This window comes from Homo sapiens, chromosome 1 (genome assembly GCF_000001405.40).
Source record: "Homo sapiens chromosome 1, GRCh38.p14 Primary Assembly".
Classification (NCBI taxonomy): Eukaryota; Metazoa; Chordata; class Mammalia; order Primates; family Hominidae; genus Homo; species Homo sapiens.
In genome coordinates this window covers 234,432,081-234,447,093 of record NC_000001.11, presented here as the reverse complement: position 1 = coordinate 234,447,093, position 15,013 = coordinate 234,432,081, and the positions used below count along the sequence as shown (strand labels likewise).

The window sequence follows — 15,013 nt, the reverse complement described above, 5'->3', positions numbered from 1 at the left end:
GAGAGTAACTTTGTCTAATTGGATCCATTAGCTAACCAGTTTTCACCCAATTATAGGTGGGAAGCAATTTGCTTATGCTTTTGAAATGGTTGATTTTGGCATGTCTTTTAATGTCTAGCGGAAAGCAGAGAACAGAGAATGTATTGCGGATATTCTTAGACCCTCTTCTGGATGTGCTTATGAAGTTTAGTACCAATGCCTACATGCCCTTGCTGAAGACTGACAGATGCCTCCAGCTGCTGTTGAAGCTGTTGAACACATGCAGGTTGAAAGGTTCCAGTGCCCAAGATGGTGAGGATAAGTTGTTTCTCTTGGTATCTTGCTTGATATAGCATTGGTATTTAGAGTTCTAGAGAGGAAACTTCCGTCTTTTTAAAACAAAGAGAAAACTTTTTATATAATTTAGAAATTATATATATTTAAGAAATTATATAATTATATATTAAGAAATTATATAATTTAAGAAAAATATTTATTGAGTATCTCCCAGTGGTGCTGGGGATACAGTGGTGAAGGAGCAACCATCTGTTCTCGTGAGTTGACATTCTAGTGGTTTCCGTGTGTTGGTTACTATAATGTAATTTCATTTGCTTTTTAAAAATATTTATGCATGCTTATTGATTTCTAGACCATTTAAAATGATCACTGTCTTGTATATGTTTAAGCAGGATCCATTTCTGTTTGCCACTCTGCTAAAGCATGAGAATGGCAGTAATTTTATAATTACTTGTTTTTAAATATGTTCATCTCCGAGTACCTTTTAAGTAGAAAATACTTCACAGAGAAAGTTAGTGATAATAGTAGAAGCATTGAGCTCTTTCTTCTCTCCTTAAACTAAGGTATGTAAAACAGCAGTTGAAAACCCGTAGACATCAGAGATGAGAGTAGTGACAGGTGAACCTCCCAGTCCTTCCTGACCAGTCTCATTTGCAGTTTTAGAAATTTCCTGTTTAAAAATTCTAGAGGAGCATTAGTATTAGGTTGAACCTGAGAATAAAATTGATACGATTATATTTTCATATATGCTTATGAAATATAAAAAATATTTTTTTATAATGATAGTAGCAGAACCAAATGCTATGAAAATACAGTAACTTTTTATAAGACTTTCAACTCCTTAAGGGCATACATTTGAATTCATTGGCGCTGTCCTGACTATTTACTCCTATGCTCAGTGCTTTCAGTGTAGAACTGGGTCACATGTGCTCTTGAAAAATTGCCATAATTTTGGATACAAACAAAAGAATGTGTGATATGTAAGTTATATAAAAGTTATATATATCCTATATATAAAAGGATGCAAAGTAATTAAACACCTGTGTGCTCACATGCAACCTAAGAACGAATTTACCTGTTTAGTGCCCTCCTGTTAACTCTTTGTCTTCCTATTTTGAATTTTATTACGTCCATGAATTTTAGAAAAGGATTTTTAGCGCATATATAGATATTCCTCAAGAAGATATTTTTTTAACTACTTTATTGAGGTATAATTGACATGTTAAAAGGCTTTACATATTTAATGTATGCAACTTGATGAGTTTGGGGATAGGTATACACCCCTGAAACCATCACCACCATCAAGGCCATAGACGTATCCTTCACCTCCCAAAGTTTCCTCCCTCTCCTATTATTATTACTATTTGTAATAAGAAGACTTAACCTAAGATCTGCCCTCTTATCAAGTATGAGTTAGAGATAGAAATTTGGGAGCCATTAACATACAGGTGGTATTTAAAGTCATGAGTCTGAATGAGAATGTTAGGGGAGCAAGTGTAGACAGAGAAGGGGTCCAAGTACCTTGGGGACTTCAATGTCCAGAGGTTAGTGAGGTGAAGAGGAACAGCAGAGGGTACCTAGGGGAATTTATAGCCAGAGAAGAGGAAAACCAGGAAGCCAGCGAAGAACGTGTTTCCGGGAGGAGGGTGGGATCCCACACCAGAGGCTGTTGATGCCCTAACAGAAGGACTGGGAATTGACCATCCAATTTAGCAACATGGAAATCAGCGGCGACCTCAACGGAAGCAATTTGGGGCAGTAGTGGGGGCCACTCGGAGAGAAATGAAAATAGTGAGTAAAATAGCAAGTTTTTTATGTAGAGCAGCAGAGAAATGGGGCCGTTGGTGGTGAGGAACGAGAAGTTGTTTTTGTTTCCTTAAGAGGTGAATATAACCATGTTTATGTGCTGATGGAAATGATTTCATTGAGGGAAGGTTTGAAGACATAAAGGGGTGGTGTTTGCTGACTGGCATCCAAGCATAGGTGAGAGTGTATGGAATCCAGGGCACAAGTGGTTCTAGAAGGTTCTAGAAGGAGCACTGATAGAGAGAGGTAGGTGCAGGTAGGTGGGTGGATATAGGAGGTCGTAGAAGTTCTTTTCTAATTTATTCTGTTTTTTTTTTAAGGAAAGAGGAGATAGAGTGAGGGTGGGGATGGAAGTGTTGGCAGTGTGAGGACAGGGTATAAGCATCTGTCTGGGAAAGAGGCTTTGTGAGTGCTCTGAGGCAGTGCTGTAGGATTGCTGGGCTTGCTGAGCACGCCCTTGAGGTTGCGATCGTGAATTCACAGTGATGGTAGTCCAGACGGCTGTGTTTTCCTCCAGCCTGTGATGTGCAATACCACTTTACTGTGCCTAATCAGATGAGATTCAGGGATTGTCATTCTGCAGATACAGTTTTTCTAAAATGATGTTTCCATGATTATATGTTTAATCTGCAATAACTGTATAATGTTTACTTTTAAATTTGAGGAAACATACTTTTAGTTACAATATAGCTTCCCTTTCATTACACTGGGTTATATGAGCCTTCAGTATACTGCTTCTGTCCTCACTACTGGCTGAATTTGTCACTTTGGTGGGTCTGGTCTTTGCTGAGTCTCGCTTTTTTTGTGGGAGTAATCTCTTGTCTATTGGAACTTTTCTTCCTGACGTAGGTTTTTATACATAGTTAGTTTTATGCATAGATAGTTTTATACATAAAGTAAAATTTACATTTTCACTATATTTAAGTGTACAGTTCTGTGACATAGAAAGTACGTTCACACTGTTGTGCAGCCATCACCATCATCCATCTCCAATTTTCCTCTTCCTGAACTGGAACTCTGTACCTGTGAAACACTAATTCCCCATTTTCCTCTTTCCCCAGGCCCTGGCAATCACCATTCTACTTTCTGTCTCTATGAGTTTGACTCCTCTGGGTACCTCCTAGAAGTGGAATCATACAGCATTTGTCCTTTTGTGTCTGACTTATTTTTATTTCACTGAACACCATGTCTTCTGGGTCCATCCATGTTGTAGCATGTATCATGCTTTGATTCCTTTTAAAGGCCAAATAATATTCTGTTGTTTGGCTAGATTATAATTGGTTATCCATTCATCTGTTGATGAACAATTGGATTTTTTTCACCTTCTCTTTTGTGAATAATGCTGCTGTGAACATGGGTGTACAAATGTCTGAGTCCCTGCTTTCAATTCTCTTGGAAGTGGAATTTCTGCATCATATGGTAATTCTGTTTAATTTTTTGAGGAACTGCCATACACTTTTCCACAGTGGCTGTACCTTTTTACATTTTCACCAGTAGTGCACAAGGGTTCCAGTTTTTCCACATCCTCTCCAACACTCGTTAATGGGCTTTTAAAAATAATAGCCATCCTAATGGGTATAAAGTGCTACTTCATCATGATTTTGACTGTGATTGCTTTTTGACTAATTCTGGTACCACTTCTGTTGGGATTCAGTTTACTACTATACATTATATGAGGCATAGACTAGGAAACCAAACCATAATTTTTTTTTTTTTTTTTTGAGACGGAGTTTCGCTCTTGTTTCCCAGGCTGGAGTGCAATGGTGCGATCTTGGCTCACCGCAACCTTTGCCTCCCGGGTTCAAGTGATTGTCCTGCCTCAGCCTCCCGAGTAGCTGAGATTACAGGCATGCACCACCATGCCTGGCTAATTTTGTATTTTTATTAGAAACAGGGTTTCTGCATGTTGGTCAGGCTGGTCTCAAACTCCCAACCTTAGCTGATCCGCCTGCCTCGACCTCCCAAAGTGCTAGGATTACAGGCATGAGCCATTGTGCCCAGCCCCAAACCATAATTTTTATTCTGGCTTGAACTTTTGCCCACAGTTTGTATATTGTGACAGGGTGTTAAATTCAGAGATGTGGCAGTGACCAGGGAATGTGCCTTGAGGGTGAGATAGAGGCTGTTCTGTATTGCGGTAATTAAGAGGAGCCACTGGGGTAGGGATGATAATATTGGATACCTTGAAGGCAGCTACTTTTCTTCAAGTCTTTTTGTTCTCTCTTCTCCAAGGCCTAAGCTTTCCCTTGAAATCTCAAATTTATTTTAATTGAATGGGTTTGATTATATATGAGGAAAGTAAATCTATTTTATGCTATTAATGTAAGTTTGATATTTAAGGAGTTGACTATATATATAGGAGAAAGAAAAGGCAGAAAGAGTAGTATGGAATATGCAAGACAAGAGTATTCTGTTTTTCCCATATTCATTGGTTATAGTTTTTAATTTTTTAATAAAGGCTTTTACTTTCCAATCATTTGCTGGTGGCTTCTTGACCTGGCAAGTGACTCATGAGATACTCCAGAGGCTATATAATATAGCCCCTGGGTAACATGAAAATTTAAAATTAATTTTTAATGTATGTAATCTCTTAATGAACACTTCTCAGAGTGATAGATACAGCATTTTATGAAGTGTCTATTAAATCTTCTGCCAAGTTAGTCCTTTGTCAGATATGTGGTTTGCACATATTTTCTTTTTGTCTGCAGCTTATCTTTTCATTTTCTCAACAGTGTCTTTTGCAGAGCCAAAGTTTTTATTCTGATGAAATCCAGTTTATTTTTGTTTTGTTTTATGGATCGTGCAGTAGGTATTACGACTGAGAACTCTGCCTTAGCCCCAGGTCGTACAGGATTTTTCTCCTTCGTTTATTATTTTACTTTTAGACTTATGATATTTTTAGGGTTAATTTCTAAGGTGTAAGGTTTAGGTCAAGGTTAGTTTTTTTTGCCTTTGCTGGTGTAGTTGCACCAGCACCATTTGTTGGAGAGACTGAGTATCCTTTCTCTGTTGAATTGTTTTGTACTTTTGTCAAAAATTAATTGGCTGTGATGGAAACAATCCAAAGTAGATGGGTAGATGAATGGATAATATGTGGTTTATACATACTCAGCCATAAAAAGGAATGAAGTAGTAATACATGTTACAACGTGGATAAACCTTGAAAACATTATCTTAAGGGAAAGGTGATCACTAAAGACCACATATTATATGATCTCATTTAAATGAAATGTCCGGAATAGGCAAATCTCTAGAGACAGAAAATAGATTGGGGTTGCTTAGGGCAGGGAGAAAATAGGGGTTAAGGGCCCGATGATTTAAAGGGTATGAGGTTTCTCTTTGAGGTGATGAAATGTTCTAATATTGATTGTGGTGATAGTTGCACATATCTGTGACTGTACGAGAAACTATTGAATTAGATACCTTTAATGGGGGAATTGAATGCTCTGTGAATTCTATCCCAAAAAATTGTTGACAAATAATTAATTTGGCTGTATTTGTGTTGATGTAATTCTGGACTCTATTCTGTTCTTTTGATCTAAGTGTTTATTCCTTTGCCAATACCACAAGGTTTTGGTTACTGTAGTTTTATAATAAGTCTTAAAATAGGTAGTGTGGTTTTTGTCCAAAAATATTTTTAGCTATTCTAGTTCCTTTACCTTTCCATATAAATTATATCATCAACTTATATGTACCTACAAAAAAAAAGTCCTGCTGGGATCTTGACTGGAATTGCATTAAATGCATAGATCAGTTTGTGGAGAATTGCTTTCTTATGCTGAAACTTTTAATGCATGAATATGGTATTTCCTTACATTTATTTATTTAGAGACAGGATCTTACTTTGTCACCCAGGCTGGAGTACAGTGGTGCAATCTCAGCTCACTGCAGCCTCTACCTCCCATGTTCAAGCAATCCTGCTGCCTCAGCCCCCCAAGTAGCTGGGACTGCAGGTGCTCACCACCATGCCTGGTTAATCTTTGTATTTTTAGTAGAGATGGGGTTTTGCCGTGTTGTCCAGGCTGGTCTCAAACTCCTGACCTCAGGCGATCTGCCCACCTAAGCCTCCCAGAGTGCTGGGATTACAGGTATGAGCCACCACGCCTGGCCTGTCTCTGCATTTACTTAGGTTGTCTGTGATTTTTTTCATCAGTTTTACAGTTTTCAGCGTATAGATCTTACACAGGTTTTGTAAGATTTATAACTATTTCTTTTGAGGGGAAGCTGTTGTAAATGATAGTTTTAAAATTTCAATTTTTAACTGTGTGTTACTAGTATATAGAAATATGATTGATTTTGGTATGCTGACCTTGTATCCTGTAACCTTGCTGAAGGACGTAATTCTAGGAGTTGGTTTGTTTGAAGGTTCCTTGGGATTTTCTTTGTAGATAATCATGTCATCTGTGAATAGGGGCAGTAGAATTGTCTGTAGTATTCCCTTACCCTTTTAATGCCTGTCGGGTCTGTAGTGTAAGCTCTGTCTTTTTATTCCTAATAGTGATAATTTGTGTGTGTGTGTGTGCGTGCTTACTCATGTGCACTCTCTCTCTGTCTCTGTCTCTGGCTTGCTAGTGGTTTATCATTTTATTGACCTTTTCAAAGAACCAGCTTTTGGTTTCATTGATTTTTTTTTTATAGATTTTTTTTTTTGGTCAATTTCATTGATTTCTGTTGTTTGGTTCTTTCTGCTTGGGTTTGGTTTATTTTGCCTTTTTTTCCTTTTAGTGTTAAGGCAGAAACATAGATTGTTGATTTTAGACGTTTCTTGTTTTCTGAAATGACAGTGCTATTAATTTTCCTCCAAGTGTTGCTTTAACTATATCCCACAAATTTTGGCATGTTGCATTTTCATCTCAAAATATTTTCTAACTTTCCTTGAAGCTTTCTCTTTGACCCATGAATTATTTAGAACATCTTTGGAGACTTTCCTAGTTACTGCTTTCTAATTTAATTACATTGTGGTCGCAGAGCATATATCATATGATTTCAGTTTTTAAAATTGTTTTAAGTTTATGTGGGATATGGCCTATCTTGGTGAATGTTTCATGTACTCTGGAAAAGAATATTATTTTACTAGTGGCTGACGTGTTCAATAAATGTCAGTTATATCCAAGAGTTTTCATGGTGTTTTTTAGTTCCATATCCTTGCTGATTTTCTATTTATTCCTTGTATCTATTACTGAGAGAGGAACTTTGAAATCTCTGTTGCCCAGGCTGGAGTGCAATGGTGTGATCTTGGCTCACTGCAACCTCTGCCTCCCGGGTTCAAGCGATTCTCCTGCCTCAGTTTACCGAGTAGCTGGGATTACAGGTGCCCACCATCATGCCTGGCTAATTTTTGTATTTTTAGTAGAAATGAGGTTTCACCATGTTGGCCATGTTAGTCTCGAACTCTTGACCTCAGGTGATTCAACCACCTTGGCCTCCCAAAGTGCTAAGATTACAGGCATGAGCCACCACACTGGGCCTTTGTTTTTCATTTCTCTCTTTACTCTCTTTTGGGCAGTTTGAACATTATTTAGTATTCCATTTAAATTCAGCCTTTTTTTGTGTGTGTGTGGTTGCCTTAGGATTGCAGTACATATACTTTGTACAGTCTCTTTGGAATTAATATTTACCACTTGAAGTGAATATAGAAACTTCCCTTCTGATAGGGCCCTTCCCCCTTTCCCCTGTCTATGGTAGTTGTCTTATATTTACATTTGTTGAAAAGCCTACAAGACAATGTTATAATTTTTGCTTTTAACCAACAAACAAATTTTAAAGAACTCAAGAGAAAAGGGCCTGTTATATTTACTTAGATGTTTACAGGTCTCTTTTGCTCTTCCTTTGTTCCTGATATTCCAAATTTCCCTATGGCATCATGTCCTTTTTGTTCAAAAAAACTTCTTTTAGCATTTCTTTTGGAACACATTTGTTGCAGTGAGTTCTCTTAGTTTCCCTCATCTGAGAATATCTTTATTTCACCTTCATTTCTGAAGGATATTTTTTCTGGATATAAAATCCTGGCTTGATAGATCTTATCTTTCATCAGTTTAAAAATGCTGTTCCATTTGCCTCTGGTTTCTCGTGAGAACTCCATAGTAGTCAGGTTTTTCTTTGGCAATGTCATTTTTCTCTGTTTTCAAGATTGTTTTTTCATCAAGCTTGTTTTTAGCAGTTTGGTTGCCCTTTGTCTGGGCATAAATTTCTTTGGATGTATCCTTTTAGATTTCCCTGAAACTTCTTGAATCTGTAGGTTTATACCCTTTATCAGATTTGGAAAGTTTTCAGCCGTGTCTTTATTCAGATACTTCTTCAGCCCCACTGTCTTTCTCTTTTCCTTCTGGGGCTGTGATGGCTTGAAAAAATAAGATCGTTGTTATTATCCCACAGATGTCTAGTTCTGCTTCTTATTTTTTCAACCAGTTTTCTCTCCGTTGTTCAGATGTCATATTTTTGTTGATCTGTTTTCAAGTTCTGACTCCTCTCGCACCTCCTTTGTTATTCATCCCATTCAGTGAATTTATTTCAGTTATTGTACTTTTCAATTATAAAATTTCTATTTGGTTTTTCTATATATCTTCTGTTTCTTTGCTGAGGATTTCTAGTTTCCATTTCCTTCAAGATTGTCATTGATTGCTTGCTAAAGCATTTTTATTAGAGCTGCTTTAATGATTTTTGTCAAACGGTTCTAACACCCAAGTCATCTTATTGGTGTTATCTCTAGATTTTTTTTTCCATATCAGCTGGGGTTTTCCTGGTTCTTCATATGTTTAGTAATTTTGGATTATATCCTAGCTGTTTTGAATATTATAATATGAAACTCTGAATCTTATTTAAATCCTGTGGAGAATGTTGATACTGTTGTCCAGTACACAGTCAACCTGGTTAGGTTGAGGCCTCACATTCTGACTTAGCTTCTGTGGGTGCTGCTTCTGCTGTCAGTTTTGTCTTCACCTCCTTTGCCATGCTCTTTGGACCCATGCCACATGCATTCCATCTGTTGGCCACTCTGGGAACTGGCCAGTGGGCAACTCTGTTCATTCAGTCCTGAAAGTCTGTGGTGTGCTGATTAGCATCAGATCCGTGCATGTGCAGCTTGGAGGTGAGCCCAGGAGTTCATAAACAGCTTTCCGAGGCCACTTTCCTGCATCCCTCCCTGTCTGCAATCCAGTACTCACTGTCTGCTCTCCTGGAGTTCTCCTGTTTCGTTGCCTGACCAGAAAGCTGGCGCCCATTCTGCTGCCCACCTTGTTGACTGCTTCTGCATCTGGTTACAATTGGGAGGAGGACCAGAGGGAGAAACATTAGTAAACTCACCACTGTTCAGTGTTACTTCTCTCTGAATCCACCTGCTATTTTTTCCTTGTAGAGTTTTCAAATAGCTGCGTCATGCATTCTGTCTAGGTTTTATAGCTCTGTTCAGTGGTGGAGGGAAGAGTGTCCCTGATCCATCCTACCCACAACTGGAACTCCTAAGTGACTTAAGATTAAGTATAGCTTTCCCCATGGGGTGAATGATTATTATATTATTGCAATTTATTTTTGGCAAGTGATTCACGTGCTTAGCCCAGTTGTACATTTACTAGAATATCTGGTGTGTTTTGTACCAAAGAACTGCTGTCATTTTAGTTGCATGCTTTTTGCCCCCATACAGATGAGGTGTCTACTGTTCTTCAGAACTTTTTCATGTCTACTACAGAGAGCATTTCTGAATTTATTCTCAGAAGACTTACTATGAATGAGCTAAATAGTGTAAGTATTCAGTGGAATAACTTTCTTTTTCATTTCTTTCATTCTTTTCACCAATATTTGAGTGATTACTGACACTGTATTAAATTGAAAAGAAAAATTAATTTTCTCAAGAAGCGGTCTTAGGAAGCAGCAAAAAAAACCTTAGACTTTGGGGTCTCCTAGTTCCAATTCCATCTGTATTGTTAGCTGTGACCTTGGGCAAGTTACATAGATCTTCTGAGCCTCACCCCATTTACATCCAAGGATTTGGAGAGTTTCAAATGATGTAACATATTTGAAGTACTACACACATTCAATGCATTTTGGAGCCCAATCCCAAGATTCTGATGTGGCAGCTTTGAGACCGGACCCTGAGTGGGGGTGCGTGTGTGTTAAAGCTCCATCAGTGATTCTTAAATGCAATTAGGTTTTAGGTGTAGAGGATGCTCTGTGACTGTAGCTGTCTTCTCTGTCTCTAGACTGTACATAATTTGTTCTTTTGGGACATCTAAACAAGCTTTTCCCCTTAAAGAATACCTTGAAAATACCAGTTCTTATATGAATGTCTTAATTTTTTGTTTGTTTGTTTAAAATCTCTAGGGACAAATGTTGAAATGATTTGAATGCTTACATTGCCAATAAAATAAGAAAGCATTCTTACTTTAAGAACTTTTATTTAAATACCCAATTAAATATTAATACATTTGTTTGACAGCTTACACAGGTATGAAAATATAAAAATACAAGTATTCAACTGAAAGACTTGAGATTTTATTATAGAAAGGCAAGGAAGCTATTATGAAAATCTCTTTGGAGTGGGGAATATTTATCTATATCTTCCTTAATTTTTATCAAGCAATCATTAATATGAATTCTAGTACACCTACATTTTTAGGAAGGCATTTATTTATTTTTAATTTTTGTGGGTACAGAATCAGTGTATGTATTTAACCAAGAAGTCATTTAAATATCTAAGTAACTTTAAAATTTAAGTTTTGCTCCAATACCACTTTTTATCCTCAGTATTATTTTTACCTGTTTGTATGGAAAATTTCCAAACATATACAAAAGAAGTTTAATGACCCTCCCTTATGCTTATATGATGACCCATTATATAACATGTTTTTGTTTGTTTGGATTTTGAAGCTAAAAACAGAGGGAGAGCTTGATGTTACTTTATCTTTTAGATGCAAAGATTTTAAAAAGTAATTCCATATATGATAGTTTTAAGTTGTTTTGAAAAAGCCATTCTTTAATAAATTAATTAGAATTCTCACTTAAGTTACGTTTGTTTAGTAGCTTAGAGTTTAATAAAATTCTCTTCCCACACTTTCCCCTGTCAGCAGTGTGCTGGTCAGTGTTTAATGACTGACTCTCTAGGGGAAAAAAGAGCCTGCCTCTGTAGTATTTACCAATTTCCACGGCCGATTTCAGCCTACCAATGTGAGGCCACTGAGTTGGAAAGAGATATGATCTTCGGTCTTTGCGATGCTGGCTGGGTCTGCTGCTACGCCGCTGCCTGTCTTAGTTCACAGAGGAAATAGTGGCTGTCAGGCTGGAATGCTCTCAATTTCCAGTTGCCAGATGTATGGACTTACGCTATATGCTCAACCACACCTGAATTCATCCTCCCTGTCTTCCCTTTGTTACAAGAGAGTAAGGAAATTGGGATTTCATCCGTCTCTATTTTCTTAAGCACTTTACACTATTGATTGTCTTCTTTCTTGTGTTTTCAACTACTACTTTTCTCCTGAATTCTTTTCATGAGCATTTTAACAGGTTTAAGCATCCTTCATTTTATTTATTTATTTAATAAATAAATAAGCAGCTTTGTCACCCAGGCTGTGGTGCAGTGGCATGATGTCGGCCCACTGCAACCTCCACCTCCCGGGTTCAAGCAATCTTCTGCCTCAGCCTCGAGTAGCTGGTATTACAGGCGTGCGCCACCGCGCCTGTAATATTTTTGTATTTTTGTATTTTTAGTAGATTTTTGTATTTTTGTATTTTTAGTAGAGACGGAGTTTCACTATGTTGGTCAGGCTGGTTTTGAACCCCTGACCTCAGGTGATCTGCCTGCCTTGACCTCCCAAAGTGCTGGGATTACAGGCGTGAGCCACTGCACCCAGCCAAGGGTCCCTCATTTTGAAAGAACCGTCTCTCAATTTCATGTTCCCTTCTAGCGCCCTATGTCCTTCTCTTTAAGCAGACTCAATTTAATTCTAATTTGACTTTTATCTTTGTTACAACACAGAAATGACTCTCACTAAAGATGTCAGCGACTCTTTTTCATAAACTTAATGGATACTTTCCAAACTGTATTTTTCTTTATTCTTTAGTTCCAGCGAACACTGGTGACCACCTCCCCCTTGAAACACTGCTTAACTTCTATGATGTCATTCTCTCATGCTTCTCCTGCCCCAGCCCCTGCATCTTTCTGGCCATTATTTCCATTTCTTCTTTGAATGTCCATTCTCTGCTCCCTAACCTTTGAAGCCAGAGCTCTTTAAAGCTTGTCCCTGACCCCTTCTTTTCTCATTCTCTCCCCTGTCACTTGATGATCTCATCTACATCCCCAGCTTCAGTTCTGCCAGGGACCCTCAAATCTCTGTCTCCACCTCAGACCACCCTTCTGAGCTTAACGCCCATAGTTGCTTGCTCTATGATGGTGTCAGTCGAATTTCTCACACTGTTCAAAACTGACTCCCTCATTATAATTCCTACAGGAGGTTCTCCAGGTTACTGTCGCAGTGAATGTCCCACCATCCTGCCAGTTTCTTAAGCCAAAAACTTAGGAATCCTTCCTGGCACCTTCATCCCTCACTCTTGCCCTTTTGTTCAGTCTTGTAATCGTTACCTTCTGTCTGCACTGTATCCCAGCACCTGGCAAAGTGCTTGGCGTCCAGTGGTTGCTCAGTAAAAACTGATTAAATTACTTCCTGTGTGCTTTCTATGTGCCATAGGAGGCCTCTTCTGGTATAGTAATGATATATTAATATAGTAATAATTTCTCCCATTGATTCCTTCAGAAACCCTGTGATGGATAAATATTACTATCTCTATATTATGGACAAGGACAAGGTTAGGCAGTGACTGCATTCAGCACAATTATGGCACATTTCACAATTGAGTCATCCATCTCCCCACCTGAATTATGAGATCTTAACACAATAAGGCTTAGTAGTGAAGAGTTAAATAACTTGTCCTATGTCACAGGGCTGGTGCATGGTAGAGCTGAACCCATTTTTTTCTGGGTTTATGAGTCAAAAAATGTGCATTTAAGTTGTTTAACCTCTCTGAAACTTAGTTGTCTTATGAAAGTGGGACAGTGATCTTTTTTGTGAGAAGTGATTTTTGTAAACAGTGGAAGTAGTCATTGCTATAACCATTATCATTATTATTTATGATGTACTAGCCCTAGGGACATAAGAATTGGTAGATGGTAATTTCTGCCATCTAAGGTCTCCCTCATAGGTAGGGAGACAGATGACTCAACTGTGAAATGCACCATAATTGTGCTGAATGCACAGTCACTGTGTAAGCACAGAGAAGGAAGTCCTTAGCTCTGCGTGGGAGGTTATGGAAGGCTGCTTGGAGAAAAGAACTTATTTTCTCATCAGTGTCTTGTTGTGGTCCTTTAAGTAAACTTCTCCTGCCTGAAGGCTTGTAGTTTTGTGAAAATCATGGACCTTGCTTGTACCCTTAAGTGTTTTAATCCTTGTCTTAGGTTTCAGATCTGGATCGTTGCCATTTATACCTGATGGTGTTAACTGAGCTTATAAATCTGCATTTGAAGGTTGGGTGGAAAAGGGGTAACCCTATCTGGAGAGTTATTTCTCTTTTGAAAAATGCATCCATTCAGCATCTTCAAGAGATGGACAGTGGACAGGTAAGCCTCTTTGATTCAAGGTTTGTAGTTATCTTGAATAAGGCATACAGGGAATACATATTCAGTTCTTATACACTATTTTGATACCATACAAAGCGTTAACTAAAATTCAGTTTTAAAATATACCCTCTAGTGATAAGATGTAGTTAAGATTGATACTTTTTGTTTTTTGGAGATGGAGTCTGGCTCTGTCACCCAGGCTGGGGTGCAGTGGTACCATCTTGGCTCACTGCAACCTCCACCTCCTGGGTTCAAGTGATTCTCCTGCCTCAGCCTCCTGAGTAGCTGGGATTACAGGTGTGTGCCACCATGGCTGGCTAATTTTTCTATTTTTTAGTGGAGACGGGTTTTACCATGTTAACCAGGCTAGTCTCGAACTCCTGACCTCGTGATCCGCCTGCCTTGGCCTCCCAAAGTGCTGGGATTACAGGTGATACTCTTAATATAATATTAAACATATAAGAGGCATCATCTTAAAATCATTTAGATATAGACATTTCACCTGTACTAGGTCTTTTGCCCAAACGTGTCCAGTAAAGGACATTTTATAGTCTGACATCATTGCCCTCCATGCTTGGCTTCCTACCTCATTTTTCAGCCTAGCTGTCCACTGTCTAATGCCTTTCCCCCTCCTTCCCACAGTGCCGTGACGTTGCAGCCACTCTAGGCTACTTAGAGTTTTACAAATCACAAGCATGTGTCCTATCTTCCTCATGGAGGCTGTCATTCAGTCTGGTCCCTCCGTGGAGAATGAGTGCCCTCTCCTCCAGCATACACTTGGCAGCATCTGGTCTCCCCTTTTATGGACCAACTGGAATCTCTTTTCTCTTAGAGGTCTTCTTCGATTAGTATCTCACTCTCTTTCATCTTCCTGTTGCTCTTTATGCCTCACTTGTAGTGTGTATTTCCATCTTTCTTGTTTTTGGAGTAATGTATGCATATATATCTTTTCCTATATATATATATTTTTGAACAGAGTCTCGCTCTGTCACCCAGACCGAGTGCAGTGGCGTGATCTTGGCTCACTGCAGTCTCAGCCTCCTGGGTTCAAGCAGTTCTCCTATCTCAACCTCCCGAGTAGCTGGGACTACAGGCGTGTGCCACCATGCCCGGCTAATTTTTGTATTTTTAGTAGAGTTGGGGTTTTGCCATGTTGGCCAGGGTGGTCTCGAACTCTTGACTTCAAGCAATTTGCCTGCCTCAGCCTCCTGAAGTTCTGGGATTGTAGGTGTGAGCCACCGTGCCTGGCCTCAAGGCTTTTTTTTTTTTTTTTTGGAGACGGAGTTTCGCTCTTTTGCCAAGTCTGGAATGCAGTTGTGCAGTTGGCTC

General features: G+C 38.7%; 1 protein-coding gene across 17 annotated transcripts in view, besides 1 other annotated feature; it reads left to right on the top strand.

Moving 5' to 3' along the window:
• Positions 1 to 15,013, top strand: part of TARBP1 (tRNA guanosine 2 -O-methyltransferase TARBP1) — an 87,867-nt gene that overhangs the window by 32,086 nt on the left and 40,768 nt on the right. For 15 of the 17 annotated variants that reach the window (XR_007063103.1, XR_949157.3, XM_047429060.1 and 12 more), the window contains 3 exons: positions 119 to 291; positions 9,722 to 9,819; positions 13,523 to 13,684. Coding sequence is in view for 15 of the 17 variants with exons in the window: in XM_047429060.1 (XP_047285016.1) it covers positions 119 to 291; positions 9,722 to 9,819; positions 13,523 to 13,684 (433 nt within the window). In the remaining 2 variants the exon portion in view is untranslated. Of the gene's footprint in view, positions 1 to 118; positions 292 to 9,721; positions 9,820 to 13,522; positions 13,685 to 15,013 lie in introns of those variants that run through there. The other 2 variants (XM_017002196.2, XM_047429097.1) reach the window with 2 other exon arrangements.
• Positions 13,349 to 13,418: a silencer, noted in NCBI's record as "silent region_1969". NCBI's record gives its function as "represses an Ori minimal core promoter by ATAC-STARR-seq in GM12878 lymphoblastoid cells {active_cell/tissue: GM12878}" and the evidence as "EXISTENCE:reporter gene assay evidence [ECO:0000049][PMID:35858748]".